At 50.8% G+C, this 19,115-nt stretch overlaps 1 protein-coding gene across 5 annotated transcripts, besides 4 other annotated features; it reads right to left on the bottom strand.

Moving 5' to 3' along the window:
• Positions 1-2,455: 2,455 nt before the first annotated feature.
• On the bottom strand, positions 2,456-18,997 carry PI16 (peptidase inhibitor 16). 5 transcript variants are annotated; one of them, NM_001199159.2, is made up of 8 exons: positions 18,889-18,997; positions 12,362-12,613; positions 7,927-8,148; positions 5,733-5,842; positions 5,319-5,407; positions 3,681-4,358; positions 3,331-3,470; positions 2,456-2,907 (listed from the first exon to the last, which is right to left on the bottom strand). In NM_001199159.2, the coding sequence occupies exons 2-7, from the start codon at positions 12,530-12,532 to the stop codon at positions 3,349-3,351; spliced, it is 1,392 nt and encodes a 463-aa protein (NP_001186088.1). In that variant the 5' UTR covers positions 12,533-12,613; positions 18,889-18,997; the 3' UTR covers positions 2,456-2,907; positions 3,331-3,348. The 5 variants fall into 5 exon arrangements, with proteins under 5 accessions (NP_001186088.1, XP_011512677.1, NP_699201.2 ...); XM_011514375.4 differs by lacking the exon at positions 18,889-18,997 and having other exon boundaries at positions 2,456-3,051; positions 12,362-12,555; NM_153370.3 differs by lacking the exon at positions 18,889-18,997 and having other exon boundaries at positions 12,362-12,555.
• Positions 3,023-3,647: an enhancer, noted in NCBI's record as "H3K27ac-H3K4me1 hESC enhancer chr6:36931422-36932046 (GRCh37/hg19 assembly coordinates)". NCBI's record gives its function as "activates a minimal SCP1, AML or CMV promoter by ChIP-STARR-seq in naive H9 embryonic stem cells {active_cell/tissue: H9 hESC(naive)}" and the evidence as "EXISTENCE:reporter gene assay evidence [ECO:0000049][PMID:30033119]".
• Positions 3,648-4,273: an enhancer, noted in NCBI's record as "H3K27ac-H3K4me1 hESC enhancer chr6:36930796-36931421 (GRCh37/hg19 assembly coordinates)". NCBI's record gives its function as "activates a minimal SCP1, AML or CMV promoter by ChIP-STARR-seq in naive H9 embryonic stem cells {active_cell/tissue: H9 hESC(naive)}" and the evidence as "EXISTENCE:reporter gene assay evidence [ECO:0000049][PMID:30033119]".
• Positions 7,651-8,150: an enhancer, noted in NCBI's record as "H3K4me1 hESC enhancer chr6:36926919-36927418 (GRCh37/hg19 assembly coordinates)". NCBI's record gives its function as "activates a minimal SCP1, AML or CMV promoter by ChIP-STARR-seq in naive H9 embryonic stem cells {active_cell/tissue: H9 hESC(naive)}" and the evidence as "EXISTENCE:reporter gene assay evidence [ECO:0000049][PMID:30033119]".
• Positions 8,151-8,652: an enhancer, noted in NCBI's record as "H3K4me1 hESC enhancer chr6:36926417-36926918 (GRCh37/hg19 assembly coordinates)". NCBI's record gives its function as "activates a minimal SCP1, AML or CMV promoter by ChIP-STARR-seq in naive H9 embryonic stem cells {active_cell/tissue: H9 hESC(naive)}" and the evidence as "EXISTENCE:reporter gene assay evidence [ECO:0000049][PMID:30033119]".
• Positions 18,998-19,115: the final 118 nt, after the last annotated feature.

The raw sequence follows: 19,115 nt of genomic DNA, 5'->3' as shown, positions 1-19,115 counted from the left end.
TTCCCAGGCCCTTCAGAGGGGAGTCTGCCCTGTGGCCTTTCTCCAGCCCAGCGTGCTTTCCCACAGCACTGACCACTGTTCTGGGGTATCTTTTCTTCCTGTTGCTCCAGCCTCAGATCCTGTTTTTGCATTGATTAGTTCCTAAGGCCCCCCGAGATTGAGGGGCACCTGTATCTCTGGAGCCTGAGCTAAGCTAGATCTGAAGAGCTCCTCCCAGAAGTTCAGAGAGGCTGCCCAGAGTAGAGAGCAAGGTTTTAGTGGCCTTGGCCAGTCACCTCTGGGAGGGCTGCTGCTGCCCCCAAGTAACTTCCTGAATTTGGGGGTTTCAACTTCATTTCCCAGGCCATCTTCCACACCCAGAAATGGCATGAAAATCTCTTGATACTGTGTCCCAGTTATTGGCTGAGCAAAGTACAGGTTTTTAATCTAATGAAACAGGAAGTTTTCAGTTCATTCAAATTCTTGTGTGTGTGAAATGCTCCTAGACCATTTGATCTTTGGGGGTGAGACCCTGTCCATCTGCCCTCCTAGCAGTTCGCGTGTTTCCTGTCGACTAGTCCTGGAAACTAGGATGCTGGGTCCTCATCTGAGAAAGGAGATTGGGTGGGATTGGGCAGGAGGAGACCTCAGCTGCTGGCAAAGGGAGGGGTGACAGGAGGAGTGTCCTCCTCCTCCCGTCCTGGGAAACCTCATCCAATGGGCAAAGCTGAAAGGGCCTCTGACAGGCCTTTGGGGACCTCCTTATATATATCCTTACGTATATACCCAAGATAATTGGAAACTTAACGTTCACACAAAAACTGGTATATGAATGCTTAGTAGTAGTATTCGTAGTAGCTCAGGAGTGGAAACAGCCTGAGTGTCCGATGACAAATGGAAATGTTCTATAGAATGTAATGAATATTCCATAGAATGGAATATTACTTGGCAATAAAAATGAATGAAGTTCCGATTCATGCTACGACATGGATGAACCTTGAAAGTATGTTGGCTGAGAGCAGCAACTCACAACTATAATCTCAGTCCTTTGGGAGGATAGCTTGAAGCCAGGAGTTCAAGACCAGCCTGGGCAACATAGTAAGAACTGGTCTCTACAAAAAATTTAAAAATCAGCTGGACATGGTGGCATGCACCTGTAGTCCCAGCTGCTCAAGAGGCTGAGATGGGAGAATCACTTGAGCCCAGGAGTTGGAGGCTGCAGTGAGCTATAATCCTGGATGTCAGAGCAAGATCCTGTCTAAAACAAATTATATATATTTATATGCTAAGTGAAAGAAGCAGTCACAAAAGACCATAACATATATGATATGTCAAGAATTTATATGGATGTTAAGAATAGACAAATCCATATAGATAGAAAATAGATTAGTGGTTGATTGGGGCTGGGGAGGTTGGAGGGAAATAGGGAGTGACTGCTAATGGGTATGGGGTTTCTTTTTGGGGTGATGAAAATGTTCTAAAATTGTGACGGTTTTACACAACCTTGTGAATATAGTAAAAACCGTTGAGTTGCATATTTTAAATGGGTGAATTTTATGTTGTGAGTTATATCTGAATAGAGCTGGAAAAAACATAGAGTAGACCGGGCGTGGTGGCTCACACCCGTAATCCTAGCACTTTGGGAGGCTGAGGCCGGTGGATCACCTGAGGTCAGGAGTTCAAGACCACCTGTTGACCAAACCCCGTCTCTACTAAAAATACAAAAATTAGCTGGGCGTGTTGGCAGGTGCCTATAATCCCAGCTACTCGGGAGGCTGAGGCAGGAGAATCGCTTGAACCCGGTGGGCGGAGGTTGCAGTGAGCCGAGATCACTTCACTCCAGCCTGGGCGACAAAGCAAAACTCTATCTCAAAAAAAAAAAAGAAAGTAAAAGAGGGGAGTGTCCTCCTTGGTTACAGGTCGGTTCCCAGCCCTGGCCTGACTTGGGTGGTGTCCTGTTTGACTGCTCACCTTCCAGCGGTGGTCTGGAGACTTGCTCTGCCCCTCCCTACCACCCAAGCCACCCTCAGTCATCCACCACTGCTACCCCAGCATATGTGTGCTTTCCTGATCCTCAGCACCTCTGGACAGTCCTGCTTTGCTCCCCTGGGGAGGGTCTGGGACTCCAGATCCCTTTCTTAGGACTCTTCCAAGCACCTGGGGCTGGCAGAGCCTTGCCTGATGTACATTTCTGACCTTGTGTCCCAGACAGGCCTGGATAGCAGCGCCCCCGTGAAGAGGCCGCATGCCATGCTTTGATCCTGGGCTCCAAACCTACCTAGGCCCCACTGGTGACTCCTGAAGCTGGGGGAGTCAGCCCAGCACCCTTGGCCTTCCTTTGGCTCTTCCCCTTCCTGCCTGCCACCTGTGATTAGGGGGAGGCGAGAGTTATAGGAAGGAAATGAAGGGTGGGTCCCAAAGAGGAGACACTAAATGGAGTGTTTTAGAGGAGGGGGATGAGAAAGAGAAGGAATAGTTGCCACAGGTTGGACAGGTTTTTATTGGAGAGTCAGGAGTTACTTTCCTTCCCTCGTCCCTGCCTCCCCCACTCAAAGAACCCCACTCCAGTGGGGCTTGTCCTTCATCTGCCCCTAGGAATCCCCATCCCCAGCTACACAGGCACTCAGGGAGAGCGCACATGCTGTGTGGGCAGACAGCCCCAGGCCAGGTAGGCAGTGAGCTCCCTCAAATCCTCCCACCCCCAGGACTCAGGAGGGAGGGGCAGGAGAGGTGTGGGCCCGGTGTGCAGTCCTCAGGCGGCCTCCTGAGCTCGCAGCCAGCCAGGCCTTGTGCCTCCAGGATGGATGGTGTGATGAGGCACATGCCCCGTAGCCTTTCCCTTCCGGAGGGCCTTAACCAAGAAGTATCTTGTTTAGGGGCTGGGGACAGGGTGGGGAAGATGACAGGAGGACAGCTGACCTCTTCACCCTGAGAAGGCAAGAGGCACTTCTGGGGAACAGTCCTGGACTCAGATGGCTCAAGGAAGAGGCCAGGGGACTGGGAGGGGCCCGGGGGTTCCTGGGAAGCCTGAGATCCTCTGTCTGGGAGAGAAGCTGATGGCCACAGGACAACCTGAGAGTGGGCACATGTAAATACCGCTCAGAACAGTCTGCAGCCAGCTGAAGGATGGGCCTACCCAGAGCCAAGGCACTCCTGGGGCAGTGCCAGGGGCTGGCCCTGTAGACGCCTCCCAGGAGGACAAGAGTGCTGGCCTGGAATCTGGCCAGAAGTTGGGGTGAAGGGGGGCTGCTGGGCCACAGAGCAGGACCTGCCCAGGAAGCTGTGGTCTCTCACTTGGAGGAAGACAATCCAGGTGGGTATGAGGCCAGGGCCCCCCTCACCAGGCCTTGCCTTTGAGTGGTATCCCCTTCAGAAGATTCCAGCCAACACCAGAGGAGGCAGGAGCAGTAGTCCCAGGAGAGGGCCCCACACATGACCAGGGCCCGAGTTCAGCCCTGACACGACGCTAGGCTTGTCAGGGCCCTCTGCACCTGTGGGAAGAAAGAGGCTTTGCCTCAGCCTAGAGACAGCTGTGCCTGATGTCCCGCCCACCCCACCATGCAAGGAGGTGGGGCAGCAGCCAGGGAGGAAGCTCCTACTCAGAGGGTGCATGCCCCACCATGCTCATACCACCTATGCTGGGGCAGGATACTGACATTCCAGAGCCAGGAGGAAAGTGGGACAGATGCTATGGGCCTTACCTGGCAAGGACGACTGCAGAGCCAGGGCACGCCCACCCGTGGCATTAGCGGTGGCAGAGGTATTGGGGAAATTGGGCAGGGACTTGGAGGAGGTGTGCCCCGTGTGGTCCAGTGTGGCCTGCAGCTCACCTGGCTTGTCCTGGGCTGGAAAAACTGAGGCCAAGACCTCACTGGAAGGAGGCAACTCAGCCTCAGCCTCAGCCTCCTCCTGGGCATGGGGTAGGAGTTCCCTTGCCCCTGTCAGGGACATCTTGGGGTCCAGAGAGTTCTCTGGGCTCCTAGAGGGCACTTTTGTTTTGTCTGTCACTTTGTCTGCTGATTTTGGGATAGGAACATGGGTCGATTTGGGGAAGGTAACTGGCTCCTCATCCAAGGAGGGCAGGCTGTGAGCTGCCAAAATGGAAGGGACCTCAGTTGTTACGCAAGGTGGAGCCTCTGTTGCCATGGAGGGCGGGTCTTTCGTTGCTAAGGAAGTTGGGGCCTGGGTTTCCACAGCAGGCAGAGCCTTGGTTGCCAGGGAGCCTGAGACCTCTGTTACCAAGAAAGCCGGAATCCCCGTTGCTAGGGAAGAAGGAGTACCCATTTTCCTAGAGTCTGATGCTTCAGTCGCCCGGAAGGATGGGGCCTCAGTTACCAGGTAAGGCAAATCCTGAGCATCTTCCGGGCTTCCGATGGGTTCTGATAAGACAGACGAGAACGGGCATGAGTGCTGCAAGCAGGACCCCACATCTCTCATGGCACTGCAAACCAAGTGACGCGACCAAATGTCCTACCAGGACACACAAACACACACATACACTTCTCCAGCTGATATGCCCCTCATTGAAAATAAAAGTTACAAGCCGGGCGCGGTGGCTCACGTCTGTAATCCCAGCACTTTGGGAGACTGAGGCAGGTGGATCACCTGAGGTCAGGAGTTCGAGACCAACCTGACCAACATGGAGAAACCCCATCTCTACTAAAAATACAAAATTAGCCAGGCGTGGTGGCGCGTGCCTGTAGTCCCAGCTACTCGGAAGGCTGAGGCAGGAGAATTGCTTCAAACCGGGAGGCGGAGGTTGCAGGTGAGCCGAGATCGAGCCATTGCACTCTAGCCTGGGCAACAAGAGCAAAACTCCGTCAAAAAAAAGAAAAAGAAAAAAGAAAAGAAAAGAAACGTTACTTCTGGTGATTGACACAGTTGCTCCTCTAGCCACCTCCTGGTCCAAGTCTCTCTACATTCGTACTTGCCCTTTTTCAGGGGACTTCTCCAGCGGGATCGCGGTCCCTCACACGCCCCCAGCAAGACTGGCCTCGCCCGTTTGAAGCCTTCTGACCACGCCCACCGGTCTGGCCCCAGCCCGCTCCTCGAGACCCTAAAGTGTGGCGACACCCACCTCGCGCGGGCCCCCCCGAAGCCGCCAGACTTTCTAACATCCTCCCTTTGAAGGGTTGAAATCCGGCCACTTGGAACGACAGGGCGCCAAAGTGGCTGCGCGTGGGGGGCTAAGGGAGCCGCCAGGGGCCCCCGGTGGTCGCATCCCACCAGGCTCCTTCCCTGCCCACGTCCCGCTCAGTCCAGGGAGGCTCTTAGACCATCCAGTCTGCATCGCATCATTTCCACACCCCCTGCCCCTACCCATCCACCCGTGGACTCACCACAGAGGGAGTTCTTGCAGTGGTAGCCAGAGGGACATTGGGAGCACGGAGTCCCCTCCTGGTAGGGCCGTTTCCCCTTCACGTTCCCCCTACAGGAGGTCAGGAGGATGCTGCGGGGAGGGGGTCGACCCCTCCCAACCCTCTCCCCAACTCCTATACACACACCTACTCTGGAAATGCCCTTGGGTCTCCTGACTGCCAGCCACTGACTTGCTGGGCGAACTTGGGCTCCTCCTGGCCCTCTCTGGCAGATGACAGCAGACCCCCATTGGTGCCTTCACAGCTCCCTGGACAGTATTGCTCCAGACTGACCCCTCTCCTCCCACTCCCTCAGGCTGTGGCCGACTCTGCCCTCCCCTTGGCTCTGCCTGTGCCTTCCCCCTCTCCATCTCCAGGGTTCCCCCCGGCACTCACGGAGGCTCATAGTTGCACACCAGTAATTCGATGTTGGTCTCCTCAACACCCTGGAGCTTCTCACAGAAGTGGGAACCACAGCCGATCCTCTCTGTCTTGGCCCATACCACCTGATGAAGGGCAAACCTAGCAGCTCAGCCCCATGCGAGGTGGCATGGTGCCTTCCTGGCATCCCACTACACCTGCCTTACAGGAGTGGAGAGAAGAGGCACCCTATAGCCTGTGACATCCACGTCCCCAAGGCCATGCAGGTTCAGGACAAAACTCTAACCAGGGGGAGGGATGGGGGAGTTTGTCCCTAACAGTCTACTCTCCTCTGCCAACCACACATACCACTTTGCCAGGTCTCTTTTCCTCTCAAAACCTTCCCTCAGCTCCAGGACTGTGATATACCCTCATTAATTTTTTTCTGTGGGCTAGAAAAAAAGGCCTAGAGGCCCTTGCATTTTAAGTGAAGGATATATCCAAACGAAAGAATCTCAAATGGTAGAATTTTAGACCTCAGCAACAAGAAAAGTCCAAGGAGGGGAGCAGGAGGAGCCATTTTGGAAGTGGAACTTCCCCCAAATCACAGGTGAGCAGGACCTGTTCTGGTTGTTTCTCAGTGTGGGTCTCTTAACTGCTAGAAAGACTTCTATCTTTATCAAACAGAAAGTCCAACAACATTTGTGTGCTGCCATGGGGTGAGACCAGCAGCCTTGCCTTGCTGGTTCTAGGTTCAATCTGCCCAGGAATCTCTGCTGAAATCAGCTGAAGGTCTCCCCGTGTTGAGCACCTTCTGGGCAGAAACGACTCCAGAGTGCATGCACCCTCAGCCCCAGAGAAAGCTGGGGTGGAGCTGGGCTGACTCACTCCCTGCTGGGTCCTGATAACAATCCCTGCAGGAGCAAGTGGGTGGGGGTAGAGGGAGGGGGGGGGTGGAGGGAGAGGGAGGGGTGGCAGGATCCAGAGGGAAAGGGCCAGGAAGGGTGCTGGGCCCTCACAACTTTCTGACCTGGGTGGGTGCTGCTGGGATTTCCTCCCTAAAGATGAAGACTAAAAATACCATGAAAAAGAGACACTGAGAAATGGAATTGGTGGATGTGGGTGGGAAGATGGTTGGTTTCTTTTCTTTTGTTTGTCATGTTATTATTTGTACAACACATAAGCACTGGGAGGAGAAAAAATAATTCAGTAACACTAATGTTAATTCCCCTACACACACACACACACACACACACACACACACACACACATCTTATCTGCAAGCCCAAACTTTCAAAATGCAGTGAGAACCCAGACAGGAGCAAAGTGTGACTGGGGAGCAGGAAATTCTATCAGAAATCTCCCTGAAGCCTTTCATTCAGCCACAATTTGTTCTTCATCGTTATGCATAATTGTTAAATGCAAAAGAAAAACTAAGCAAAATTGTCAATTTGCTTTATTAGTCCCTGGCAGATGAGAAGTAGCAAATTAGACACCATAATAAATGCAAAAGAGCCACAGAGAGAAGTTAAGGGACTATCTGCTGCTGGGGCAAACAGCTCTGCACTATCTGGGGGAAGTGAGGCAGGATCACTTGGAGCCCAGTACAGTATGGCCTAGGACAATAACCATGGTCCATAAAATTGGCTCTGTGACACCTAACATGTCCCACCGTCCCCACCCCTTTTTATTTATTTATTTATTTATTTAATTTTTTTTTTTTTTTTTTGAGACAGGGCCTCCCTCTGTCGCCCAGGCTGGAGTGTAGTGGTGTGATCACGACTCACTGCAGCCTCAACCTCCTGGGCTGAAGTGATCCTTCCACCTCCGCCTCCAGAGCAGCTGGCGCGCGCCACCGCGCCCAGCAAAGTTTTTTGTATTTTTTTGTAGGGACAGGGATCTCGCCATGTTGCCCAGGCTGGTCTCCAACTCCTGGCCTTAAGCGATCCTCCCAGCTCGGCCTCCCAAATTGCTGGGATTACAGGGGTGAGCTACGGCGCCTGGCCTAGCAGACTAGGAGCAGCCGACTCCGTCAGAGTCTTAGACAGCGTATTAGCTGCAGTGAGAGGACAAGATTTGCAAAGTGTCTGAGGGGGCTTGGAGTGAAGCCCGCCTACTTGCAGCGAGGACGCTTAGGAGGGGTGAAGGCAGAGGTGGCCCCGCCCAGGGAGCACGTGGCCCCACCCCCACGCCGCGAGGCTCCGCCCCGCCTCGCCCGCCGGGCCCACACCTGCGTGTAGTGGCCGCACATCTGGCCTGGGCTGCAGGTGGCGGCGCTGAGGTTGTAGTGCTCACGCTCGTGGTGCCACTCCTCCATGGCCAGCGGCACGTCCATGCCCTCGTCTGTGATGGCGAACAGATTCTCGCCGCGGCGCCCGCGCTCCTTGTTGTGGCCCCACACGCACTGCCGTGCGTAGGCCTTGGCGAAGGCGGCCAGCTCCTCGTCCCATCTCTGCAGGGCAGGTGAGAGAAGGGAGGTGAGGATGCCCACAGATGCTGTGGGGACCAAGCAAAAGGTCGAGGAGGTCGTGGGGAAATCCTTCCGGCACCTCCTTAGCAGGGTGACTCTTGGGCATGGCCTAGAACAGGTCTCTGCTCTGGGTGGGCGTCTGTGGGGCGGTGAAGGATGCCACCCCAGGCCGTGGAGCTGGACCATTCACCAGCTGTGTGACTGCACGGATTGTCTAAACTTTCCGCACCCTCAGAGGGCTGGGAAGAGTGGATGAGGTGGTGTTGGTGACAGTGTTATTATTAAAAGCCTCATGTGAAAAAGGTGGCCATACATGCCCCTGCCTACCTCCCAGTCCTCCTTGAACTTCTCTGAAGAGCACAAGATCACGGTGTGATCGATGTTGAGGGGCTGGGTTGTTTATTCAGCCCATTTCCCTACCCCTCAACCATGAACCTGACTTGAGGGCCGGCACCTTCCTCTCCCTCTAAGCCCCCACCCTCCCCTTGGGTCACCCAGCCCCCATGCCTTTACCCTCTGCAGGCTCCCGCCCCAGTGCTGTTCCTAACTGCTCCCAACCCTTGTCAACGGCAACCCCCTTTCTCCAAGAAAATTAAGCGTCTCTATGTGACACTGAATGTCACAGGCCTCTCACCAAGGGGCCTACTTTCAGAGCCTTGGTAACCCACTGTCAGACCCCAGTGACAGTGTTCTCCAGTGGGGACCTCAGGTGAGATGGTGAGAGGGGGAATTTTAGGTTCGGGGCCTTTGCGATTGTGTCCCTGGCTGAGAGGACAGGCCGAGTGTGGGTGGGAAGAGGGATTAACAAGGCATCCGACCCAAAGGATTGAGGAGGGGAAACCTGGATCCCATTAAACGCTGTCCTTGGCTTCTCCTGGAAATCCATGGCCTGGCGGCAGCTCTTGCTCCACCCTATGAGGGCCCAGCCAGCTCTGGGAGCCAGACAGCCCATAAAGCGCCAAGAGCTTGGGTGACCCTGAGGGGAGGTGGCTGTGTGGCCACACCTACTCCCCACCCACTCAAGGCTTTCAGGAGCCGCTGCCTGGCATGGGGATGGGTGCACCTGGCTGGGATAGCTCCACAGCTGTGACCTTGGGTGAGTATCTTTCCCTCTCTGGACATTTTTGTCCCAAATCACTGGCCCCTGAGATTCTCTCAACTCTGGCAACAGTGGGAGACTGGGAGTGGGAAAGGGGCAGGGCGCTGGGGGCCAGGGTCAGGGTGTCTGAGATCACCTGCGAGGTGCCGGGCTGGACTGTAAGTGCCATCACGGTAGGGCATGGATGGATCCCCAGTGTCTGGCGCAGTGCTGGCACATAGTAGGTGCTCAACAGATACTTGTCAACTATTGATGACTGAGACAGGGCCCTTCTTAAAGCAGTCTACCCCTACAGAGCCTGGCTGTAATTTCCATTCTGACTAGATATCTGGAGCCCCACCATTAGCATCATTGCTTTGGTCTTAAGGATTCTCAGTCAGTCATCCAGAGCCCCCTGTGGAGTTTGTAAGACTCTCAGCACCCACCCACATTGGCCACATGGTCACCATCTAGAAGCAAGTCCATTCATTCATTCATTCAACAGTCCTGGGCATTGTGTCAGCCCTGGGACAACAGCAGGAACCAAGAAGCCCAAATTTCCATTGACATAAAAGTCATTTGGGCCACCACATGGTAAATGACAGATGTGCCACAAGTACTATAGAGGCACCAAAGAGGGCCATCTAGCCCAGCCAAAGGTGGAGAGGGAGACACCAAGCTAAGTGTTAAAAGATGAGGCATTAGTCAGCTGGAGGGGAGAGGCATCCTAATCAGAAGGTACACATCAGCAAAGGCATGAAGCTGGGAAACATTTTGGCTGGGAAAAGACAAGCTGTTCAGGTGACAGAAGAATAAAGGGCAAGCGGGAGAGGAGGATGGAGAGATAGGCAGGGGCCAGAACACACAGAACCTTCTCAGTCAGGAGCTGGAGCTTTAACCTGAAGCAGTAGGGAGCCATGGGAGCCACTGAAGGATTTTGAGCAGGGTCAGGCCCATGTGTTGGATTATTCATTCTGACAGCAGAGGCCAGAAGCTGGGGAACAGGTAGAGGCTATCCTAGGAGTCCTTGTGTGGAAGAATGAAAGAAACCTGAACCAGGATTGTGCTGAAAAGAGAAGGGGGTAGGGGTAAGGGTTAGATTTCAAGGACAATTGAACCTTCGGGGTGGCAAAACTGGTGCTGATTAGCTCTGGAGGCTGAGAGAGAAGGAAGAGTTCATGATAACCCCCACCTGCCTCACCCTGGATCCATTCCCTCTTTTGTGTTAATCAGACACTTACTGAGCACTTACTGTGTGCCAGGCATTCTTCTGAGTGCTTTACACATATTCACTCACTTAACCCTACAACCACTGTAGCTACAAGGGAATTATCCCACTGTTATCATCCCCATTTTACAGATGAGGAGACTGAGGCACAGAGAGTTTAATTTGGCCAAGGTCACAAAGCTAATAAGTAACAAAGCTAAGATTTGAACCCAGGCCATTTGGCTGCAGAGTCCCTGCCCTCACCACTGCTGAGGTTGAACCTGAGTCTTGTCCTGAATGTTTCCTGGCATCCCAGCCCCAGCCTCATCTCCTCCTCCTCATGTCACTCCCCATTAGGCAGCAGCATATCCCCTCAGTATCCCAACTGCCTCCCAGAATGTTGCCCCACTCCAAGGCGCACCTCTGTCTGAGAAGCAGCTCCCAGCCTGTGTGGCCCCCAGTCTCAGCCAGCAAGACTGTAGGGCATCAGGGATCTACAGGTGGGGAAACTGAAGTCCAACAATGAGTCACAGGCCTCAATCAGGGAGCTGTTGGCAGAGCTGCATCTGTGACGCCTGGTTTGTTGTCCACCTTTCCTCGATGTGCAGGCTGGCACAGCTGTGAACGGCAGTGCTGGGTGTGTGCAGAGCTCTTCCTAGATCTTTCTTACGTGTCATCCTGTCTGACGCCCAGGGCAGGGATCGCCAGCCCCATGTTTCCATCTGGAAACAGAGGCCTTTGAAGGGAAAGGGGTCCACCCAGAGTTACTTCAGCCAGATCACATTAGGCTGAGGTTAGAACTTAGGTTTGGGGCCCCAGGCTCACTGTTATGTTCCCCAAGGTGCATCTGTTCTCTCAGGCACCAGCTCCAGGGGTCCCTGAACACTGCCCAGCAACCTCCCCAGTCACCTGAGGGTGGCTGGAGGGGACAAGCTAGTTCAGCCCTCAGGGAGGGCAGGAAGTGGGTGAATTTCTCACTTTATCTCCTTTAATTCTGCATATAGACAGCCCGCCTCTCACCCTACCATAAATAGCTCTTCCTGACAGAAGTAACCAACCCTAAATCTGGCTTCTGTCTCCTGTGTGCATGTACATGTAATGTTTACTACATCTGCGTGTTTCACCAGGACATAAATAGTATTTTTACATGTTTTCAGACTTCATGTAAAGAGATCCTACTGTGTATTTTTTAGAGATTTTATTTCCTCCCCCATTCAGTATGATATCTGTGAGATTCAATCCACACTGGTATATACGTAGCTCTAATTCTGACCGCCTTTTACAGATGAGACACGGGATCGGCAAGGTTACAGGACTTGCCTCGAATCATAGGTCTTGTAGGTGACCGAGACAGAATTTGGACTGTGTGATCCAGAGCCCTCTCTGCTTCTGGATCCTGCTGTCACCCACCTCCTTAGCACCTGCCTCCTACTCCACGTGCCCACGCCCATCCTGCTGCCCTGCTTCCTCTTGTCCTCTCCTTGGCAGGCATGTGAAAGACCGTTTTCACAAAGGTGTTAAGAACTTCCCGGGTTCCCCCACTGAGGGCACATGCATTTGAGGAAGTGCTGGGGAAAGCTCATTGGAGTGGGAAGCCAGGGCTTTGGGTCTGGCTCTACCAGCTGTGTGACCCCAACAAATCCCTCTGAGCCTCACTTTCCTTATCTGTATTATGAGGCTGCTTATAGGGGCCTGTGAATTTTATTAGGCGGGTGCAAAAGTAATTGTGGTTTTTGCCATTTAAAGTAATGTAATACCATGTCAGGGACTCGGGGACTCTGTCACTGACCAGAAAAAGGAGAGGAATTCTGAAATAGCTTCAGCATGAGGAGCAGGGTAAGAGAGCCTGGTGACAGACCCTGGCCAGCACCCCTTCCATCCCAGCCAGCAAGGGCCGTGGCCACACTTACCATGTGCAGCATGTCTGAGGCCGTCGGGGATACCTGGGCCCGGTAGAGGTTGTGCAGCTCCACCATCAAACGTTTCTCCTCATCTGTGAGGGCTCCAACGGGGCCTGTGGTGGCCACCAGCAGTAGCAGTAGCGGCAGCAGAAGCATCAGGAAACTGCAGGAGCCGTGCATGGTGGCCAGCCGTCTCTCCTTCTCCCGTCCAGGGGTCTGGCAGCTGGATTTAAAGTCCTTCCCACACAAGCACCACCCTGGCTGGGGTGGGGCAGTGGGGGCCGTGTTTGAGGCCCAGCCCGACTCACACAATGTCTCAGGGAGGGCTGGGCGCTTTGGGTCCCGACCAGCATCAAGTGCACTCCCCTTGGAGTCCTTGGCAAAAACCTCCTTTCTCTTGGTAACGGGGGCTCAGGCCAAAAGCTGTGTGAGTTCCTAAGTTGTGGACAGATCCTTCAGGGGCAAAATCACAGTAACCTCTGCAGAGCTGTGACTGGTTGCACCCAGGTCACACCCACTGTGTGTTGAAGATAGATAAGAGAAAGGAAACCACAGACCCTACCCACAGAGGAGTGGGCAAGATGAGGAAGCTATAGGCTTTTGAAAGGACAGAGGAAGACCAGATGTATTTGATAAAAGGCTGAGCCAACCTAAATCAGAATCCTGGTTCTGCCCCTTGCTATCTGTGTTTTGGCAGCTTTCTCAAGTGAATCAGTGACAATAATAGTACCTATCTCACAGGACTAGAGGGAAGATTCAATGACATATAATGTATGTAAAGCACCTAGTATGGTGTCTGGCACATAGTAGGCCCTCAGTAACAGTAGACAACCCACTCATGTGGCCTGGGCCTTAGCAGGCTACCAGCCCCCTGTGGAGGCAACATTCTTGCCTGCGGGGGGAGAGGCCAAGGTCTTCCCCACTCTAGCTGTATTCAGGAATAAGGCCTTTCACTATGGCAAAATTTTGGCTTCCAGGTATCCTCTCTGAATGCATGTGCTTGACATGCTCATTTGGAAGTGGGATGCTGGGACCCCTGTGCTCTAACTATGTAGAAATATAATGTGTCTGTTTCTTAAATCAAGAGAGAGCAGAAAAGCAGAAGGTTGAATGAGCTGATGCACCAGGAGCTCTGAGGGGAAGGTATTGGAAGGGAAATAGCCTTAGCAGTCAGGTGCTGGCATTATAATGACCTTGACCTTGCAGGGGCCATGACCGGTTCATGAAGCAGGAAGCTGGAACCAGTACTCTTGAGGACAGCTGGGATCCTTGAAGCCTGCTTCTTCAATGAATAGGGACCTAGAAAAAGTCTACCCACAGGCTTTGGAAGATGACAAGAAAACCTGTCCCTGCCTGAGTCTCCAAGTAAAAATAAAAACAAAACCAAGATGGATTACACACACATACACACACACACACACTTATTAGAATTAATAAAGTCAGCAAAGTTGCAGGATACAAAATTAACACATAGAAATTAGTTGTTTCTATACACTAATAATGAAAAATCCAAAAAGGAAATTAAGAAAACAATTTCATTTATAAAAGCAATGAAAAAGAATAAAAAGAATAAAATTCTTACCAATAAACTTTTTTTTTTTTTTTGAGATGGAGTCTCGCTCTGTCACCCAGGCTGGAGTGCAGTGGCATGATCTTGGCTCACTGCAACCTCTGCCTCCTGGGTTCAAGTGATTCTCCTGCCTCAGCCTCCCAAGTAGCTGGGACTACTTGCCCACCATGCTGCCCACCATAGCTGCTACCATGCCCGGCAAATTTTTGTATTTTTAGTAGAGATGGGGTTTCACCATGTTGGCCAAATGGTCTTGATCTCTTGACCTCGTGATCCGCCCGCCTCGGTCTCCCAAAGTGCTGGGATTACAGGTGTGAGCCACTGCGCCTGGCCCTTAGCAATAAACTTAACCAAGGAAGCAAAAGACTTGTACGCTGAAAATCACAAGTGTTGACAAACAAAGTGAAAGAAGACACAAATAAATGGAAAGTCATCCTATATTCATGGATTAGAAGACTTGATATTGCTAAGGTGTCAATGTTGCCTGAAGCAATCTACAGATTCAATGCAATCCCTATTGAAATGCAAATCATAATATTTTTATAGAAACAGAAAAATCCATCCTAAAATTTATATGGAATCTCAAAGGACCCCAAATAGTCAAAACAATCTTGAAAAAGAACAAAATTGGAAGTCTTACAGTTTCTGATTTTAATATGTAACCACAAATCTACAATAATTAAAATAGTGTGGTATTAGTATAAAGACAGACATTTAGACTAATGGAATAGAATAGCCCAGAAATAAACTCTTACACATATGGTCAAATGATTTTAGACAAGGGTACCAAGACCGTTCAACGAGGGAAAGGCAAGTCTTTTAAAGAAGACTTAGAAAACTGGAATGTCCACATGCGAAATAATGAAGTTGAATCTTTACCGTAAGTATATTAAAAAATTAACTCCAAAATGGATTAAATACCTAAACATAAAAGCTAAAACTACAAAACTCTTAGAAGAAAATATAAGGGGGACTTCTTGGCATTGGATGTGGCAAGGATTTCTTGGATATGACACCAAAAGCATAGGCAACAAAACAAAAATAAATTGGACTTCATTAAAATTAAGAACTTTCGGGGGCAGAGTGTAGTGGCTCATGCCTGTAATCCCAGCACTTTGAGAGGCCAAGGTGGGTGGATCACTTGAGGTCAAGAGTTCGAGACCAGCCTGGCCAACATGGTGAAACCCCGTCTCTACTAAAAATACAAAAATTAGCTGGGTGTGGTGGCAGGCGCCTGTAGTCCCAGCTACTCAGGAGGCTGAGGCAGGAGAATTGCTTGAACCTGGGAGGCAGAGGTTGCAGTGAGTCAAGATCCAGTCACCGCATTCCAGCCTGGGTGACGGAGTCTCAAAAGAAAAAAAAAAAAAAGACACAATTTCCCATGAACTGGGAAAAAATATTTGCAAATCATGTATCTGATAAGGGATTAATATCTAGGATATATATTTTGTGGGTTTTTTGTTGTTGTTTTTGAGACAGGGTCTCGCTCTGTCACCCAGGCTGGAGTGCACTCGCGCAATCTTGGCTACTGCAACCTCCGCCTCCCGGGTTCAAGTGGTTCTCCCACCTCAGCCTCCCAAGTAGGCTGGGACGTCAGACATGCGCCACCATGCCTGGCTAAGTTTTGTATTTTTAGTAGAGACAAGATTTCGCCATGTTGGCCAGGCTGGTCTCAAACTCCTGACCTCAAGTAATCTGCCCGCCTTGGCCTCCTAAAGTGCTGAGATTACAGGCATGAACCACCACACCTGGCCAATATCTAGGATATATTTTTAAAACTCCTACAACTCAACAACAACAACAACAACAAAACAATTTGAAGTCGATTCAGTGGCTCAGCACTTTGTAATCCCAGCAGTTTGGGAGGCTAAGGCGGGCCGATCGCTTGAGACCACAAGTTCAAGATCAGCCTGGGCAACAAGGTGAAACCTCATCTCTACAAAAAATACAAAAATCAGCTGGGCATGGTGGCATGCACCTGTAGTCCCAGCTACTAGGAAGGCTGAGGTGGGAAAATTGCTTGGGCCTGGGAGGTCAAGGCTGCAGAGAGCCGAGATCACACCACTGCACTCCAGACTCCAGCCTGGGCAACAGAGGGAGAGCCTGTCTCAAGAAAAAAAAATTTGATTAAATAGGCAAAGGACTTGAAAATTCATTGTTCATTTATGCAATTATTCATGCAATTATTCATTGTCGAAAAGACATTTCTCCAGAGAAGATATACAAGTGGCCAATTAGCACATGAAAAGATGATCGACATCACTTACCATTAGGGAAATACAGTGAAATACCACTTCACACTCATTAGGATGGCTATTATTAAGAAACAAAACAAAACAGAAAATAGCAAGTGTTGACAAGGATATGGAGAAATTGAAACCCTTGTACATTGCTTCTGGGAATGTAAAAGGTGCAGCCACTGTGGAAGACAGTGTGACGGTGCCTCAAAAAATTAAACACAGAATTACCATATGAGCCAGAAATTTCACTTCTGGGTATATACGCGAAAGAGTTAAAAGCAGGGACTTGGCCGGGCACGGTGGCTCAAGCCTGTAATCACAGCATTTTGGGAGGCCGAGGCGGGCGGATCACCTGAGGTCAGGAGTTCGAGACCAGCCTGACCAACATGGAGAAACCCTGTCTTTGCCAAAAGCGCAAAATTAGCCGGGTGTGGTGGCACATGCCTGTAATCCCAGCTACTCAGGAGGCTGAGGCAGGAGAATCGCTTGAACCCAGGAAGTGGAGGTTGCGGTGAGCCGAGATCGTGCCATTGCTCTCCAGCCTGGGCGACAAGAGCGAAACTCCATCTTAAAAAAAAAAAAAGCAGGGACTCAAACAAATATATTTGTACACCGGTGTTGATAGTAGCATTAGTCACAATAGCTAAAAGGTGGAAACAACCCAAATGTTCATCAATGAATGAACTAATAGTGTAGTATACACAAAATGTACGATCACATATACAATGGACTATTATTTTGCCTTAAAAAGGAAGGAAATTCTGACACATATTACAACATGGATGAACTTTGAAGACATTAGGCTAAGTGAACTAAGCCAGACACAAAAGAACAAATCTTACATGATCCCACTTATATGCAGTACCTAGCTAGAGTAGGCAAATTTATAGAGACAGAAAATAGAATGGTGATTGCCGGGGGCTGGAGGAAGGAGAGAATGGGGAGTTAGTGTTTAGTGGTGTAGAGGTTTGGTTTGGGAAGAGGAACAAGTTCTGTTGATGGACGGTGGTGATGGTGACAATGCTGTGAAAGTCCATACTTAATGCCACTGAACTGGACACATAAACATGGGTAAGATGGTAAATTTTATGTTCTATATTTTACCACAGTAACAACCACCACCACAAAAACAGGAATTCTTACATTGGCCAGGAGTACGGTGACAAAGGAAAAATCGTGTCTGGAGGGAGCCTTTACAACCCAGGCCACTTGAGCCACCATGAGAAAAAAAAAAAATATCCAACTTTAGCTCACAATCAGAAAGTATCAAATGCATCAGGAACTGAGTCACCATGAGCAACAGACAGACAGCATACATCACAATAGGAGAATTTCTGACCCTGAAACTTGAGATAATAGAACAATCTGAAAAAGACTTCAAATAACTGTATTTACAATGAATATGCAAATAAATGGGTAGCTGAAAAGGGGAGAAGGAAGACTTAGGGGGTAGAGGGGAACAAGATGTGGAAAAGAATCGGAAGAATTCAGGAAAATGGGTTAGTCTGGGGAGAAAGGGACGCTATTTGAGAAAAATCCAAGTGGAGGAAAGAAGACTGACCAGATTAGACTACAGCCCAGACCCCTGGGCAGCTGTCCCAGGGTGTTCAGGTGGCAAAGCTGTGAGATGGATCTCTTTCCTCCATAGACGGGAGAACTCAGTGAGTTCCTGACAACTTAGGCTTGAGATAGAAATAAGGGGACTTAGTGACCGGGCGCGGTGGCTCAAGCCTGTAATCCTAGCACTTTAGGAGGCCAAGGTGGGCGGATCACCTGAGGTCAGGAATTGGAAACCAGCCTGGCCAACATGACGAAACCCCATCTTCACAAAAAATACAAAAATTAGCCAGGTGTGGTGGTGTGTGCCTGTAGGCCCAGTTACTTGGCAGGCTGAGGCAGGAGAATCACTTGAACCCGGGAGGCGGAGGTTGCAGAGATCACGCCACTGCATTCCAGCCTGGGCGACAGAGCAAGACTCCAGTGAGAAGAAAGAAAGAGAGGAAGAGAGAGAGAGAGAAGAGAGGAGAGAGAGAAAAAGAAAATAAGGCTGGGTGCGGTGGCTCACACCTGTAATCCCAGTACTTTGGGGGTGGATCACGAGGTCAAGAGATTGAGACCATCCTGGCCAACCAACATGGTGAAACCCTGTCTCTACTAAAAATCCAAAAATTAGCTGGGCGTAGTGGCACACGCCTGTAGTCCCAGCTACTTGGGAGGCTGAGGCAGAATAATCGCTTGAACCCAGGAGGCGGAGGTTGCAGTGAGCCGAGATCGCGCCACTGCACTCCAGCCCGGGTGACAGAGTGAGACTCTGTTTCAAAAACAAAAACAAAAACAAAAAAGGAAAGAAAGAAAGGGAAGGGAGGGTGGGAAGGGAGAGAAGGAAGGGAAGGAAGGGGAGAGAGAGAGAGCGAGAGAGAAAGGGAGACAGTAAGGAAAGGAGGGAGGAAGGAGGGAGGGAGGAAGGAGGGAAGGAGGGAGGGAGGAAGGAGGGAAGGAGGAAGGAAGGAAAAAAAAAAAGAAAGAAACACAGAGCTGGGCGTGGTGGCTCAGGCTTGTAATCCCAGCACTTTGGAAGGTGGAGGTGGGCGATTGCTTGAGCCCAGAACTTTGAGACCAGCCTAGGCAACAAAGTGAGACCCTTTCTCTATTTCTAAAAACTTTTAAAACATTAAAATGAATAAAATAAAATAAAAACAGACTTCCCAAGGAATTAAAGTGCTGACCTGGCCTGGGAAGTGCTGGACTCAGGAATGGAAGGACACAGTTCTCAGATGCCCCCCGGGTGGAACCAGGCACTGGCACTACAGGTTGCCCTGGTGTGGTCATCTCTGTGGCCTCTGCCTCCAGTCATGCCCCTTCAATAGCAAGGAAAACAGCTCCGTAGATGCAGGACAATGGGCAGCATTCATTCACTCAACAAAGGCTTACAGAGCCTCTCATTGTGCCAGGC

The sequence above is a fragment of the Homo sapiens genome, chromosome 6 (genome assembly GCF_000001405.40).
Source record: "Homo sapiens chromosome 6, GRCh38.p14 Primary Assembly".
Classification (NCBI taxonomy): Eukaryota; Metazoa; Chordata; class Mammalia; order Primates; family Hominidae; genus Homo; species Homo sapiens.
Note: the sequence above shows the minus strand (reverse complement) of the source record. Positions and strands in the feature narration are given on the sequence as shown.

Bases quoted from the DNA above. Each gene is read 5' to 3' on its own strand.
- PI16 (NM_001199159.2), bottom strand. From the start codon at position 12,532: ATGCACGGCTCCTGCAGTTTCCTGATGCTTCTGCTGCCGCTACTGCTA. The intron at 5,408-5,732 runs GTGAGTGCCGGG...GACCTCCTGTAG, and splicing joins GTGTGCAACTATGAGCCTCC to GGGGAACGTGAAGGGGAAAC. The intron at 4,359-5,318 runs GTGAGTCCACGG...CTGTCTTATCAG, and splicing joins CTGCAAGAACTCCCTCTGTG to AACCCATCGGAAGCCCGGAA.